The 15572-nt window shown below is 41.5% G+C and overlaps 2 long non-coding RNA genes and 2 pseudogenes across 2 annotated transcripts in view; 1 reads left to right on the top strand and 3 right to left on the bottom strand.

Annotated features, from left to right (window-relative positions):
- The window catches only part of LINC02193 (long intergenic non-protein coding RNA 2193), a 35498-nt gene extending 35040 nt beyond the window's left edge, over window positions 1-458 (bottom strand). The window contains exon 1 of the long non-coding RNA NR_186354.1: window positions 359-458. This is a non-coding gene — a long non-coding RNA (long intergenic non-protein coding RNA 2193). The remainder of the gene's footprint in view (window positions 1-358) is intronic.
- SEPTIN14P16 (septin 14 pseudogene 16) lies at window positions 7341-9926 on the bottom strand (annotated as a pseudogene).
- The window catches only part of FAM157C (family with sequence similarity 157 member C), a 75343-nt gene continuing 69805 nt past the window's right edge, over window positions 10035-15572 (bottom strand). Inside the window, exon 4 of the long non-coding RNA NR_126161.1 lies at window positions 10035-10203. This is a non-coding gene — a long non-coding RNA (family with sequence similarity 157 member C). The remainder of the gene's footprint in view (window positions 10204-15572) is intronic.
- Window positions 11769-15537, top strand: CICP25 (capicua transcriptional repressor pseudogene 25; annotated as a pseudogene).

The raw sequence follows: 15572 nt of genomic DNA, 5'->3' as shown, positions 1-15572 counted from the left end.
ATGAGAAAACAAAAAAGTAGAAAATGATAAATTACAATAAAGAAATGGAGAAAAAATTATAATCTAGTTGAGTAATGGTATATTACATAGCTATTTTCTTAAGTAGATGTATGTACATGATGTATGCACGATTGTACATACATGTTCTTAATTATATATAAATATATATGTACATATTTTTAATATAAAATACTAAACAAAGTACACCAAAATATTAGCTCCTATGTTAGTGAGATAATGTTTTGTTTTTTTGTATTTTAAGTTTTACATAGTAGGTGTATTTTTCTGTTTTCATACTGCTATAAAGAACTGCCCAAGACTGGGTAATTTATAAAGGAAAGAAGTTTAATTGGCTCACAGTTCAGCACAGCTTGGGAGGCCTCAGGAAATCTACAATCATGGCGGAAGACAAAGAGGAAGCAAGCCAGCTTCTTCGCAAGGCAGCATGAAGAAGTGCCGAGCAAAGGGGAAAGAATCCCTTATAAAACCATCAAATCTCGTGAGAACTCACTATCACAAGAACAGCACAGGGGAAACTGCCCCCATGATTCAATTACCTCCACCTGGTCTCTCCCTTGACCTGTGGGGATTATGGGGACTATGGGGATTACAATTCAAGATGAGATTCAGGTGGGGATACAAAGCCTAACCATATCAGTAGGCATGTATTGAATTTTAAACTCAGAGAAAAATACTAGTGTTTTTATAGGATTCTTACTAAAGAAAAACCAGAAAGTAATAAACCATCTACGCTAAGACATAAAATTCAGTTGTTTAGTTACAAGATAGAATGTGGCCTTGTAAGAAAGCAAATTAACTTCTAACATACAAAGCCTTAGAGAAGATTCAAGTGACTGACGGATCTTAAACAGAGCTATTATTACAACTCGAACTGCAGTAAAATATCCTCAGCAACGTAGATGTGTGTGTTTCACTAGTCAGAGCAATACAAATTTAATGAAACTCCATTGGTGGTGTTTTTAATCAGACAATTTCTGAAGATGTCCTGGCTTATTCACAGATGCAAGCCAAATCTCTAGAAGAGTACCATAATAAGAAAAAAAAGAATACAGGCAATTGAGAGCTGTTCCAAAGTTTAGGGAGTTTTTGTAAGGAATTAATAAATAAAAATGTTCTTGAAAGAGAGAAATTAATATGCAGTTCATACTGCCAGAATTGCAGGCAATTTATCAAAGTCCCCTAATCCTCCAAAATCGCTATTTTTTTTTGACACACACTTTACAGTACAGAAGAAAATGTCTCCGGCAATAAATCACAAAGTTAAAATTACCTAGTCTACAATTAACTACACAGTGATGGTAAATCATTTTCTACCAAAAGAAAGAAATGTCTTGTCTATTCAGGTTCTGCTCTACTTAAAACTTTTCCTTGTTGGCGAGCAAGTGGTTAGAAAATCATATTTTATACGTACATTCAGCTTAACTATCATTCAGCTCAGGAAGATGACTCAGGGCCTTATCCATACCTTCAAGTTTGCTCTTAGCAAGTAATTGTTTCAGTATCTATATCAAAAATGGCTTAAGCCTGCAACATGTTTCTGAATGATTAACAAGGTGATAGTCAGTTCTTCATTGAATCCTGGATGCTTTATTTTTCTTAATAAGAGGAATTCATATGGATCAGCTAGAAAAAAATTAAGAGGAAAATCACAAGGAAAGTTATATATTATATATCTATTATATATAATATTATATATCTATTATATATAATATTATATATCTATTATATATTATATATTGTATATCTATTACATATATAATATTATATATGTATTATATATATTATATATTTATTATATATATAATATTATATATTATATATCATTTCCAAATTCCCCAGCGTTCATATTTGTCAGTGCAAGTAAAGAGCCTTACTGCTGATGAGGTTTGAGGTATGACCATTTGGCCAGAATTTATGAACTCTACATGTCGCTTGATGTGTGCCTCAGGGTATACTTTTTTTTTTTTTGAGACGGAGTCTTGCTCTGTCGCCCAGGCTGGAGTGCAGCGGTGCGATCTCAGCTCACCGCAAGCTCCGTCTCCCGGGTTCACGCCATTCTCCTGCCTGAGCCTCCTGAGTAGCTGGGACTACAGGCGCCCGCCACTATGCCCTGCTAATTTTTTGTATTTTTAGTACAGACGGGGTTTCACCGTGTTAGCCAGGATGGTCTCGATCTCCTGACCTCGTGATCCACCCGCCTCGGCCTCCCAAAGTGCTGGAATTACAGGTGTGAGCCACCACGCCCGGCCAGGGTACACTTTTAAGCAGAGACACTACTTTGAAGGTCATAAAAAATATAATAAGAGATAAGGCTAATTTCCTTTAATAATAATAAAATCCTTTAATAAAAATATAAAGGAATAATATAATAATTTTCTTTAATAAAATATAATAAGAGATAAGGCTAATTTCCTTTAATAAAATATAGTAACTACATACCAACAGAATTCCAAAAAAAGAAATGGAGAGGAAGGGAGCATGGGTCATTAATCTTGTCAAAAATATAAAATTATATACGAGGAATTCCTAGAAACTGTTTTCCTTGTCTGCGGCCATTGTGCTGCTGCTACACAACTACCGCAAGCAGCCCTTCACGCCCTCCTCCCAGTACAAAGCTAATTGACTTGTGAGAAATGTTAAGCTTGGAAGAGTCAGCATCGCTGCACTTATTTTTTATTCTACTCTGACATTAGAATAATCCTTGAGTGGGGGAAAGGTTAAAAACCCCCCTGGATAAGTGTTACTAATTAATATTGATTGTTTTAAACAATGTTTGGATAATTTTTCCTTGTCCCTTGACATAAACTTGATAAATAACTGAGAAGTGAGAAGGAGATTAGTGGGTTGATTAAATTCCATTCAGGTACTTAAAGTTAGCTCCAAAAATTTAGCTATTTGTAAATTGTCATGCATTGTTAATGTATAAGAGATGTAGATTTCATTTATCTTTGGTGGAGCGAGATGAAGCAGTGAATCATTGAAGACTGAAAGAAAGAAAAAGGTCTTTTCCCTTTTCTTTAAGAAGCATCATTAGTTAAAAACATGTTAGTTGATACCAGAGAACTATATTTAAAGGGACAGCAATAAGCAAATTGATTACTCTGGTGATTATTGGAGTGACATTGCCTTTTAGTTGTACTTTCACAAAAATTCACAATATTTGCCAAAGTCAAGTTATCCATTACACTATTAATTTGTCATTCTTTTGTTTATATAGTCAATATCTCTATCTCAATTGGATCTATCTCAACTGCTTCTAAACAAGCCACCATAGTCTCTCCCATTTCAACAATCTCTTCCAAGTACCACTTCATTTCTTCTTTTCATATTTTTGAAAACTTTTGAAAAACTACCTATTTTCCTCCTCCATTTCTTGTTCATTCCATTCTAGTGGACATGGAATCTGTTCCTCCTCCAAAACGGAATTTGGTAACCCTTAAATTACTCAACCCAAAACAATATGTTGTCTTTATCTTTACCTCTCTGTGGCATTTAATGATAAGACCACTACTTTCTTCTCTTTTACCCTTCTTTCTTGAATTCAGTCAAACAACATACTTACATTTTTCATCTTATTCTCCATCTTAGAAACCACCTCAGCTTTCTCCATTCAGCTATAAAATTGTGCTTTTCCTCAAAGATTAATCTGCCTCTCCTCTCACTCTATACTATCTCTGTTAGCTAATTTTATTTGTGCACATTGCTTATACTGGGCATTATATACACATATGCATGTGTGTACATGTGCACACACACACTGTATGGGGACATGTATATATATATATGTGTGTGTGTATATATATAGTATATATATAAATTACAATAACATAAAGGTGGCATTTTAAATTAGTGGAAATTACCCTGATTTGATCACTACACATTCTATACATGTAAAGAAAATATCACTCTGTATCCCAAGAATATGTACAATTATGGTTTGTCAAATGAAAAAGTTCATACATTGAACAATTTTAGATAAATATCAAACTTTCTCTGAAACTGTAACTGTAAAATGTAAAAAACAGTAATTGCTATATTGCTTATTTCTGAGTAGAAGAATATGAGACATTTCCCTAATCATTATGTGTAATTACAATTACATATATATATGTAATTGTAATTACACATAATGATTAGGGAAATGTCTCATATTCTATATATATAGACAGAAAGAGAGAAAATATATGAGGGAGAGAAGGAATCTTTCCATCTCCTTTGAGTTCCACGGTGTTGAGAGTCAGGACAACTGCAATTGCTTCATCATGCCTGCTTGCAATTATAGGGCTTTTGAACCATTTGTTCCCTCCTTAGATATCCTCATTTTTTTCAGATTCTTGCTTAGAAGTCACTCCTCCGTGGACCTCCTCTGACATATTAAACATTGCAGTCCATTATAAGCTGCAAGAGGACAGGGATTTTTGCCTGTTTTATTCCCTACTGTATCACCAGGGGCTACAGCAATATCTGACAAACAGTGGGCATGTAATGAATATTTGTTAAGTGAAGTAATAAATTCAATCAAATCACATCACCTGTTTAAAGCACTTCATTGGCTTCACATTGCACTTAGAATAAAGAGAAATTCTTTTTATACAATATACAATATATTTTATACAATATAAGTTCCTGCAGAATGCAGACACTTTCTACTTCTCCAGCCTCTTTTCGACTCCTCTCCTACTAGCTTCTGTATTTAAGCCACATTAGACCTTTCTTCAGTTTTTTATATAGACTTTGTCGCATCACACCTCAGAGATTCTGTACATGTTCTTCGTCCTGCCTAGAAAGGATCGTCCCTCCACTTTCGCCAACTAATCCCTGCTCAACTTTTCATCTCAGCAGGAGGCCCATTCTCTTTGGCAATCCTCTGGCCTCCAGCCCATTTATTATATGCTCACATGTCAACATGTACTTCGTACAGCATGTAACACAATTGCACTTTTATATTTTAACAAATTATATTTCCCATATTGAACTGTAAGTCTCCTGAAAGCAGGAATTTTGTTCTTGCTCATCATCAACTTTTTCAACATCCAGTGCACCATTTAGAACTTAGATGTAGTCAATACAGGTTTGTGGAATGAAAGAGGAAAAGAAAGAATTAATATTCCTTTAAATTAGGATGGCAAAGATCGTATATAGAAAATTGGCTAAGTTGTGGTCCATTCATGTTTGCTCCCAATTAAGGAGCACAGCTATGAAAAGGAAGCCTTCAAATTAATAACCAATAGATTTTTTTAAAAAGAAAACTGGCCAGGTACTGTGGCTTATGTCTGTAATATCAGCATGTTGGGAGGCCAAGGCAGGATTACTTGAGCCCAGAAATTCCAGACCAGCCTGAGAATTTGGCAAAACTCTGTCTCTACAAAAAATACAAAAATTAGCCAAGTTTGGTGGCATGTGCCTGTAGTACCAGCTACTTGGGAGGCTGAGGTGGAAGAATAGCTTGAGTCTGGGAGGTCAAGGCTGCAATGAGCTGTGATTGCACCACTGCACTCAAGCCTGGGTGGTAGAGTAAGACCCTGTCTCAAAAAAAAAAAAAAAAAGAAAAATCACTAAGCAAAATAAGACATGTAAAGGATCATGTCAAAGGTAAGAAAAATTAGGGGAACATTAAAAGCTTTCTTCCCAAGCCACTAAATCAACTTGACTAACAAAATTACCACTTGATTTAGTATTAGAAAATTACATTACATATCAAACATAAACCCATTAATCAAATACTAAAGAAACTTCTGAGTTAAATGGTATAATGTTAGCTTATGCCAGAGCTGACCTTGAAAGATTGTTCAAATATGGCTCAGTGTGATTGAAAGTTCTGTGTGAATACGTTTTTGGAAAGATCCAACAGCAACACCTTAGTGTATGTTTTTGAAATAAAATGTATCTGAGTAGCAGCAAAGTTATTCTCAAATTTCCATTTTATAGCTGGAGATGTTATACCGTGACGTATATGATAGGACCCAATATGGATCAATCCCTTTTAGAAGTCAATCAGGAAGAGGGGAGCAGTTAAAACAGTTGCTTGGTTTACAAACATTAGAACAATTTTCTTATTCACACCATCTGATTATTGTATTTTATTTTTTCCCCAATGTTTAGACTACACAATGAGTTAAGAATGATAAAAATAAGCTCACCAACATACTATGTACATATTTACCAAAATCTGTGCATGCTTATACATATAAACACAGCTGATAATTTATTAGTTAGGCTCATTTGTAATTTTTGTCACTATAGACCAGTTTTTTATTTAAATTGATGATTAGTATACATTTTAAATGATTAGTCAAAATAAAAAATCTAAAATGTGCTCTAAATACCTCTTAGGTCAGAAAAAAAAAGTCAAAAGCTAGAGTATAGAGAAATTAAGAAACGCCCTAAATTTCTAATCTGACAAAAATTCATACAAGATTTAAATATTTTAATGGAAAATAGAACAGAACTAATTATTGAAGAAATTATAGAAAGGAAACAAAATAAACAGATTATATGGAGGATTTTTAGAAGATAAGTAAATAATATACTAGGAAAAAACAAGGGAAATATAATTGATAAATAAATACAGGTAAGAGTTCTTTTGAAATAATGATAAAATAGAAAATCTCTGTCAAAACTAAAAGGAAAGATGCATAAATATATAAATAAATGATAAAAAATGTTGCATACATATATGACTTTTTCAGAATCAAAAAATTTAAATTTCTGTAATAAAATTTAAATGTTTATAAATTTAAAAAACTAGAAGAAAGAATGTTGACTGTTCACAATACAAATAAATGACAAATATTTGAGGTGATGGATATGCTAATTATCCTTATTTGATCATTGGGCATTGTATACATGTATCAAAATATCACTCTGTATCCCATGAATATGTACAATTATTTGTCTCAAAAACAAACAAAAAAAAGATAATGGGAGAATGTTGAAAACTCAGAGAGAAGAGCAACTCTCACAGATAGGGATCCAGATAACATTAGCAGCTGATTTCTCGGCAGAAACCTTGAAGGCCAGTAGGCAGTGGATTATATATTTAAAATAATGAAGAAACCTGTCAATTGAGAAATATATAGCTGGAAAACTTATCCTTCAAAAATGAAGGAGAAATTAAGACATTTCCGGATTTTTTTTTTAAAACTGAAAAAAATCCATTTATCCCTGAATTTGCCATTCAGGAAGTGTTAAGTCCTTCAGGTTGAAATAAATGAACTCTAGGCAATAACTATATAAGTAAATAAGCAAGCTGTATGAATATACAAAGCTCTCTGGTAAAGGTAAATACATAAACAAACATAAAAACAGTCCTATTGTAATTTTGGTTTGTAACTCTGCTTTTTATTTTCTACATAATTTAAAAGGCAAATGCATAAAATGTAATTGTAAATCTGTTAGCTGGTATACAATGAATAAAGATATAATTTGTCACATCAATAACATAAAAAGAGTAGAGCTATATATATATAGCAGTAGAATTTTGGTATGTGATTGAACTTAAGTTGAAATAAATTCAAATTAAAATGTTATAACTCTAGGATGTTATATGTAATTCTCATAGTAACCAAAAATGAAATATACATAGAATATAAACAAAAGGAAATGAGACTAGAAACAAAATGTGTCACTACAAAAAAATCAACTAAAGATAAAAAAGAAATAATTGAGAAAATGATTGGCAAAAATCAGTAACTCTTACGTATTAAAACTTTCCATGCTACATAAATCTGAAAACTCTATTTCACATAAAACTGGAGCTGAAAGAAACAAATATTTACCTATAAAGTTAAAAGTTATATAGGGAACAAACACTAATTTTTTTTAGAAAAAATTATAAAAAGAGTAAAAATATGCCTTATACTACCGTAATTTCATGTTTTACAGCTCTGGGAAAATAGAAAATAAAATGTTCTGTTAGCATGAATCCCTCTGTGCCCCCAAAAAACCCTATGGATTGCATCATTATTACCTAAAAAGTCTATTCTCAAATGCAGCAGAGTGATATTTTTTACAAGGTAGATATTAATTTTAGATATGGAATAATATTGGTGATTTCAATTTTATAACACTGGGTTAAGATGAAAGAATGAGAAGACAAAGGTCCCTCAGCAATATAACTCACAAACATGTTCAGAAGCAGTAAGAAGTTACATTAATTATCTTTTGAAAGTCGATAATCTACATCTTTAATGTATGCATATAGCATAGCCAATGTACTATCGCTGGGTCCATTTATTCAATGAATAATTGCCGCTATGTGTCAGACATTTTTCTAGGCCTAGGAATGGATACATAAGTGAACAAAGCAAAGATTCTGGTTCTTGTAGAGTTTCCATTAAAAGACAATTTAGTAAAACTTTTCTTCCCCCAAATTATAAAATCTGTAAGATGATTTAACAACATGTGTAAAAGTCATTGTGGGCCAGGCACGGTGGCTCATACCAGGTGTGGTGACTCATAGCACTCTGTCACCCAGGCTGGAGTGCAGTGGCACAATCTCTGCTCACTGCAACCTCTGCCTCCTGGGTACAAGCGATTCTCCTGCCCCAGCTTTCTGAGTAGCAAGGACTACAGGTGCACACCATCACGCCTGGCTAATTTTTGTACTATTAGTACAGACGGAGTTTCACCATGTTGGCCAGGCTGGTCTCAAACTCCTGACCTCAAATGATCCGCCCACCTCGGCCTCCCAAAGTGCTGGAATTACAGATGTGAGCCACAATGCCCGGCCTTATTTTCTACAACTTTGGTAACTTTAGCATATACCCCAAATCTGTAAGACATAATATTATAATTCAAATGCAACTCATGGCTTCTCTTTGTACTCTTTCTCTAGCTTTTGAATTATTTATTCTAATACCAGTTTTAATTCTGACACAAAATCATGGGAGTTCTAATCAAAATCCAAACTTTTATCATAAAAACTATGAAGAAATTATGAGTAGAATTTAAAAAGGAAAATAGGCCTATTAATTAGATTTGTCTTTGTAGCATTTAACTCTATAATAAATAATATTTTATGCCTATGAGTCCCCAACAAAGCCTCCAGCTTCTATTTAGATATAAACTGTAAAAGTCACTACTGGATCCACAAGCAAGACTATGGTAAATAAATTTCTCCACCTAACCAGCTTCTTTTACATGATGTTACATGTTTCTTTTGTTTTTTCATTTTGGCAAATATTGATTGTCATCTTCGTGTTTGTCTATGTCCTAAGTGCTGGGATACAGAATCTGAAAAGATGGACACAGGACCTGCCTTCAAGTTCACCCCCTTTTTTTTTTTTTTTTGAGATGCAGTTTTGCTCTTGTCACCCAGGCTGGAGTGTAATGGTGAGATCTCTGCTCACTGCAACCTCCACCTCCAGGGTTCAAGTGATTCTCCTGCCTCAGCCTCCCAAGTAGCTGGGATTACAGGTCCCAGCCACCACGCCTAGCTAATTTTTGTATTTTTAGTAGAGACAGCGTTTCATCATGTTGGTCAGGCTGGTCTCGAACTCCTAACCTCAGGTAGTCGACCCACCTCGGCCTCCCACAGTGCTGAGATTACAGGCATGAGCCATCACGCCCTGCTAGGAGTTCACGCTTTAGTTGGGGAAAATATACAATAAGCAAGCCAATTTTTAAAAAGAGAACTGCAATTAGAGTTAAATGCTACAAAGACAATCTCACAGGAAGATGGGATGTAGAATGATAAGGCTCTCAGAATAGTAAGAGAAACTATTGCTTCTTACGATGTTTGTCTTTCTTTGTATCGGTGCTCAGCTGAGTCTGCAGTGCTTCAGAGGAAGCTTTCATTTTATAAAAATCTATGATTTCTCCTTCCAGTTGTTTTTTCTCTTCCTCGAGCTTCCTTATCTCCTCCTGTTGAATCATTTTAAGATGCTCGAACTTGTCCTGCAGCTGTGAAACCAATGTGCAGTTGTGACACCAAAGCAGTGTGGCTGAACACCTAAAAGAATATGCTTTTTTTCTGATTATCAAACAAACCCAAATCATCACAGTAGACCACGATCTTAATAACAATCTCAAAAACTCAGGAGTAAACACTCAGATATGGAATTTTTCTTTTCTTTCTTTTTTCCTTTTATAAGATGGAGTCTCACTCTGTTGCCCAGGCTGGAGTGCACTGGTGCGATCTCAGCTCACTGCAACCTCCATCTCCCAGTTCAAGTGATTCTCCTGCCTCAGCCTCTTGAGTAGCTGGGACTATAGGCATGCACCACCACTACAGGCGTGTGCCACCACACCTGGCTAATTTTTGTATTTTTAGTAGAGATGGGGTTTCACCATGATGGCCAGGCTGGTCTCGAACTCCTGACCTCAGGTGATCCTCCCGCTTTGGCCTCCCAAAGACTTTCTTTTTTTTTTTAATATAGAGACAAGTTCTCAGTACGTTGCCCAGGCTGGTCTCAAACTCCTGAGCTCAAGTGATCCTCCCACCTCAGCTTCCCAAAGTGCTGGGACTGACTGGATGCAGTGGCTCATGCTTGTAAACTCAGCACTTTGGGAGGCCAAGGTGGGAGGATCGCTTGAGCCCAGGAGTTCAAGACCAGACTGGGTGATATAACACAATAGTCAACTTCAACAGGAGAGAGAATCTGTAAACTTGAATATAGATCTTCCGAAATTATCCAGTCAGAGGACAGAGAAAAAAAGAATAAAAGAGAGAAAAGAAGGCTGGGTGTGGTGGCTCAAGCCTGTAATCCCAACACTTTGGGAGGCCGAGGCAGGCAGATTAAGAGGTCAGGAGTTCAAGACCAGCCTGTCCAACATGACAAAGCCCCATCTCTACTAAAAATACAAAAATTAGCCGGGTGTGGTGGCACACACCTGTAGTCCCAGCTACTTGGGAGGCTGAGGCAGGAGAATCGCTTGAACCCAGGAGGCGGAGGTTGGAGTGCAATGTGAGCCGAGACCACACATTACACTCCAGCCTGGGTGACAGAGCATGACTCTGTCTCAAAAAGAAAAAAAAAAGAGACAGAGAAAAGAAAGCCAATAAGACACCATTAAGCAAACCATTGTCAGGTTATGGGAGTTTGAGAAGGAAAGTAGAGAAAGGAGAATAAAGCTTATTTAAAGAATGGCTGACAACTGCCTAAATCATGGGAAAGATTTAGACATCTAAATCCATGAAGCTTAAAGATTCCTAAAGAGGTTCAAACCAAATAGATACTCACCAAGTCACAATATAATCAAATAGTCAAAAGTTAAAGAAACTTTGCAGGTCAGGACAGAATCGAATAATACATTCAAAGTGCTGAAAGAAAAAAACTGCCAGCAACTAATACTATGTCTGACAAAGCTGTCCTTCAGAAAGGAAAAAGAAATAATGTGTTTCCTCGACAAACAAAGCTGAGGGCATTCAGGACCACTAGGTCTACCTTAAAAAAATGCTTAACGGAGTTTTTCAAGTAAAAATGAATGAAGTTGGGAGCGGTGGCTCATGCCTGTAATCCCATTTTGGGAGGCTGAGGTGGGTGGATCACCTGAGGTCGGGAGGTCAAGACCAGCCTGGCCAACATGGCAAAACCCCACCTCCAGTAAAAATACAAAAAATTAGCCAGGTATGAAGGCCACTGAGATCGTGCCACTGCACTCCAGCCTGGGTGACAAGAGTCAAACTACATTTCAAAAACAAAAAACAAAACAAACAAAAAAAACAAAACTTGAGGCCTGGCCTTCTGCTCCTCTCCAACCTCCCCTTCTCTGGGCCCAAGCCACCTTGGCTGAGGAGGGGGCGAGGAGGTGTGAGCCCCTGCCAGGAACCCCCTGCCCGGACCAAGTGCTCGGCCCCCAGGCCTGCATTCAGTGAGGCCTCCCGTGGCGTCAGCATGTTCGTGTGGAGGAATGTGGAAGGTCACTCTGCGGCCGTGTTCTCCTGGTACTCCATCCCCTTCCTGACCCCTCCCTGCAGCCACACGAGGCCCAGCAACCTGCCAGTCACTCAGTGGCCTCCAACCAGAGAAAACAACCTGCCAAGTTGGCAGCCGTTGCTCATGAGCGTCCACCAGGTGGGACAGGGAGTGTTGACCCTGGGCGGCCCCCTGGAGCCACCTGCCCTGAAAGCCCAGGGCCCGCAACCCCACACACTTTGGGGGTGGTGGAACCTGGTAAAAGCTCACCTCCCACCATGGAGGAGGAGCCCTGGGCCCCTCAGGGGAGTCCCTGCTGGACAGTGAGACAGAGAATGACCATGATGATGCTTTCCTCTCCATCATGTCTCCTGACACCCAGTTGCCTCTACCACTCAGATGATGTCAGGCCCAGTCCCTCAGTGCCCTGAGCAAGGAACAGGACTCATCTTCTGAGAAGGATGGACGCAGCCCCAACAAATCGGACAAGGACCACATCCGGTGGCCCATGAGTGGCGCTCATGATCTTCAGCAGGCGGCACCAGGCCCTGGCGGGGCGCACCAGGGTCACCCCAACCAGGATAACCGGACCGTCAGCCAGATGCTGAGCGAGCGGTGGTACACCCTGGGGCCCAATGAGATGCAGAAATACGACCTGGCCTTCCAGGTGAAGGTGGCCCACTTGCAACAAGGACCGAAAGAAGTCCAGCTCAGAGGCCAAGCCCACAAGCCAGGGGCTAGCAGGAGTGTAACAAGGGCTCGTGGGAGCGGAGCATATCAGAGACGGGCACTGCCACTGCCCCTGGGGTGTCCTCTGAACTCCTGTCAGTTGCAGCCCAAACACTCCAGAGCTCGGATACCAAGGAGCAGCTTCTGTGGGGCAGAACGGCTGCACACAGTCAGGGAACCTGGCTCAGCCTGGCCCAAGCCTTCTCCCACAGCGGGGTACACAGCCTGGACGGCAGGGAAATAGACCGTCAGGCACTACGGGAACTGACACAGGTGGTGTCTGGCACTGCATCATACTCTGGCCCAAAGCCTTCTACTCAGCATGGAGCTCCAGGCCACTTTGCAGCCCCTGGTGAGGGAGGTGACCCGTGGGCAGCCCTGCTGCCGCCCACGTGAGCTGCTCATTCCCAGCACATGGCCAGCGAGGTCATAGCGAGTGACGAGGAGCACACGGTCATCCATGAGGAGGAGGGGGTGATGATGTCATTGCTGATGATGGCTTTAGCACCACCGACACCGATCTCAAGTTCAAGGAGTGGGTGACCGACTGAGAGTGGGGACAACTCTGGGGAGGAGCCAGAGGGCATAAAGGGCTTTGGTGGGAAGGTATTTGCACCTGTCATTCCTTCCTCCTTTACTCCTGCCGCCCCTTGCTGGATCCTGAGCCCCCAGGGTCCCCCGATCCACCTGCAGCTTTTGGCAGTCTATGGTCACACCCTGTCCTCCTCCTACACATACTCGGATGCTTCCTCCTCAACCTTGGCACCCACCTCCTTCTTACTGGGCCCAGGAGCCTTCAAAGCCCAGGAGTCTGGTCAACGCAGCAGAGCGGGCCCCCTACGGCCTCAATCCCTGGGGATGGGGGCCCAGGGACACCTTCCAAGGTGGCCTGTTTCCTCCCAATGGATCCTGCCACCTTCTGGTGCAAGAGACCTGAAAGTGTGGGCGACCTGGAGCTACCAGGCTCCTCAGTCATCAGGGTCCCTCCCAACACTAAGGCTTTCCTAGGCAGGAGCTGGGCTGAGCCACCCGGGGAGCAGAGCCTGAAGAGAAACTGACTGGGCTTTCGGGGTCGGGGCAGAGGGAACCCCACGGACATGGATCCCACACTGGAGGACCCCACCGCGCCCAAATGCAAGATGAGAAGATGCTCCAGCTGCAGTCCAAAGCCCAACACCCCCAAGTGTGCCATGTGTGATGGGGACAGCTTCCCCTTTGCCTGTACAGGTGGAGAAGCCGAGGACAGGCTCAGGGAACCGGAGACCGAGAAGGCACTGTCCTCTTCACTGCACGTACCCTGGACCAGTGCCGGCCCTGATCATGCAGCTCTTCCAGGCCCACTGCTTCTTCCTGTCCACTAGGCCACAGCCACCCTCCAGGCCCACTATGCACACATCTTCCCCTCCAAGGTTTGTTCTGCCCCTGCCCTGACTCCCAGCACTGTGGGGGTCCTGACCACACCTCACCTGGCTCAGACTCTTGACGCTGCCCTGGCTGCCCCACCACTGCTTCTGCCCGAGAGTCACGTGAGGCTGAGAGTAGGGGCAGGGGCAGCAGTGGTGCCAGTTGGGGGGCGGTCCAGTGGGAGGAGCCTCAGCCTCGCGGGCTGCTCCGTGGGACTGATGACTGCATGATCTTCTGGGCACCTCACGGATCTTCAACTGCAGGTGAAACGGATGCTGGTGGTGGGTGCAGGGCCGCTGGGAGCTGCTGCATGGTTCCCAGAGGCTGGACTGGGGCAGGTGCCAACTGAAGCTGCTGGGGCAGCATGGGCAGGATGTTCTGCACACAAACCTTGGAGAAGAAGATGTGTGCATAGCAGGTCCACTGCTGCTGCCCCTGCCCTGACTCCCAGCCCTGCCTGACCCCACCTCAACCTGCTCAGGCTCTGGCGCAACCCTGGCTGCCCTGCCACTGCCTCTGCCCCAGAGTTGGGGCCTTGACAGCCTGGTTGGAAGGGGACACCCCAGCCCTGCCTCAACACCTGGGGGTCTCCATAGCTACCACAGGCAGGTGGGCAACCCCAAAGATCCCAGGACTCACAGTACCCCCTGAGAACATGGACAGTATGTGGGGGTAGCAATGGAGGGCAGGATGGTTATCTTCTCCCAGGTGAAGCCATTTAATCCTTTCAGTTTGGGACGGAGTAAGGCCTTCCTCTTTTTTTTTTTTTTTTTTTTTTTTTTTGAGACCGAGTCTTGCTCTGTCGCCCAGGCTGGAGTGCAGTGGTGCGATCTTGGCTCACTGCAACCTCTTCCCGCCGGGTTCACGCCATTCTCCTGCCTCAGCCTTCTCGGTAGCTAGGATTACAGGTGCACGCTACCACGTCCGGCTAATTTTTGTATTTTTAGTACAGACGGGGCTTCATCATCTTGGCCAGGCTGATTTCGATCTCCTGACATCGTGATCTGCCTGCCTCCCCCTCCCAAAGTGCTGGGATTACAGGCGTGAGCCACCACGCCTGGCCAAGGCCTGCTCCTCTTATCTATACCCCCTACCCCTGCAGCTGTGCCGGGGGAAAGCTGGGCAGTTTCCCTCCTCCGAGCCCCTGTACATACCATGAATTGTGGGACCTTCAGAGCTTTTCACTTTTCGGAAAATAGCTCCTGCTGGGGCTACAAGATGGAGTGTGAAGAGGGCCTTGGGCCACAGGGAGGCGCCTGTGGACTAGGGGGAGTTCATGCACCCCTTCTTTCCCCAGAGGGGCTGGACTCAGGTGAGTATGGGGGTGGGGGCTCCTGCACTTCGACACAGGCAGCGGGAGGGTTTTCTCCCCATTCCCTCTGCACTCCCAACTTGAGCTATACTTTTTAAGAAAGTGATTCACCCTGCCTTTGCCCCCTTCCCCAGAACAGAACACGTTGATCGTGGGCGATATTTTTCATTGTGCCAAAAAGTTGCCATGACCGTCATTAAACCTGTTTAACACCAAATAATAAGGAAAATAAAATAAAAAATTCGGGC

Source organism: Homo sapiens, chromosome 16 (assembly GCF_000001405.40).
Source record: "Homo sapiens chromosome 16, GRCh38.p14 Primary Assembly".
Taxonomy (NCBI): domain Eukaryota; kingdom Metazoa; phylum Chordata; class Mammalia; order Primates; family Hominidae; genus Homo; species Homo sapiens.
Note: the sequence above shows the minus strand (reverse complement) of the source record. Positions and strands in the feature narration are given on the sequence as shown.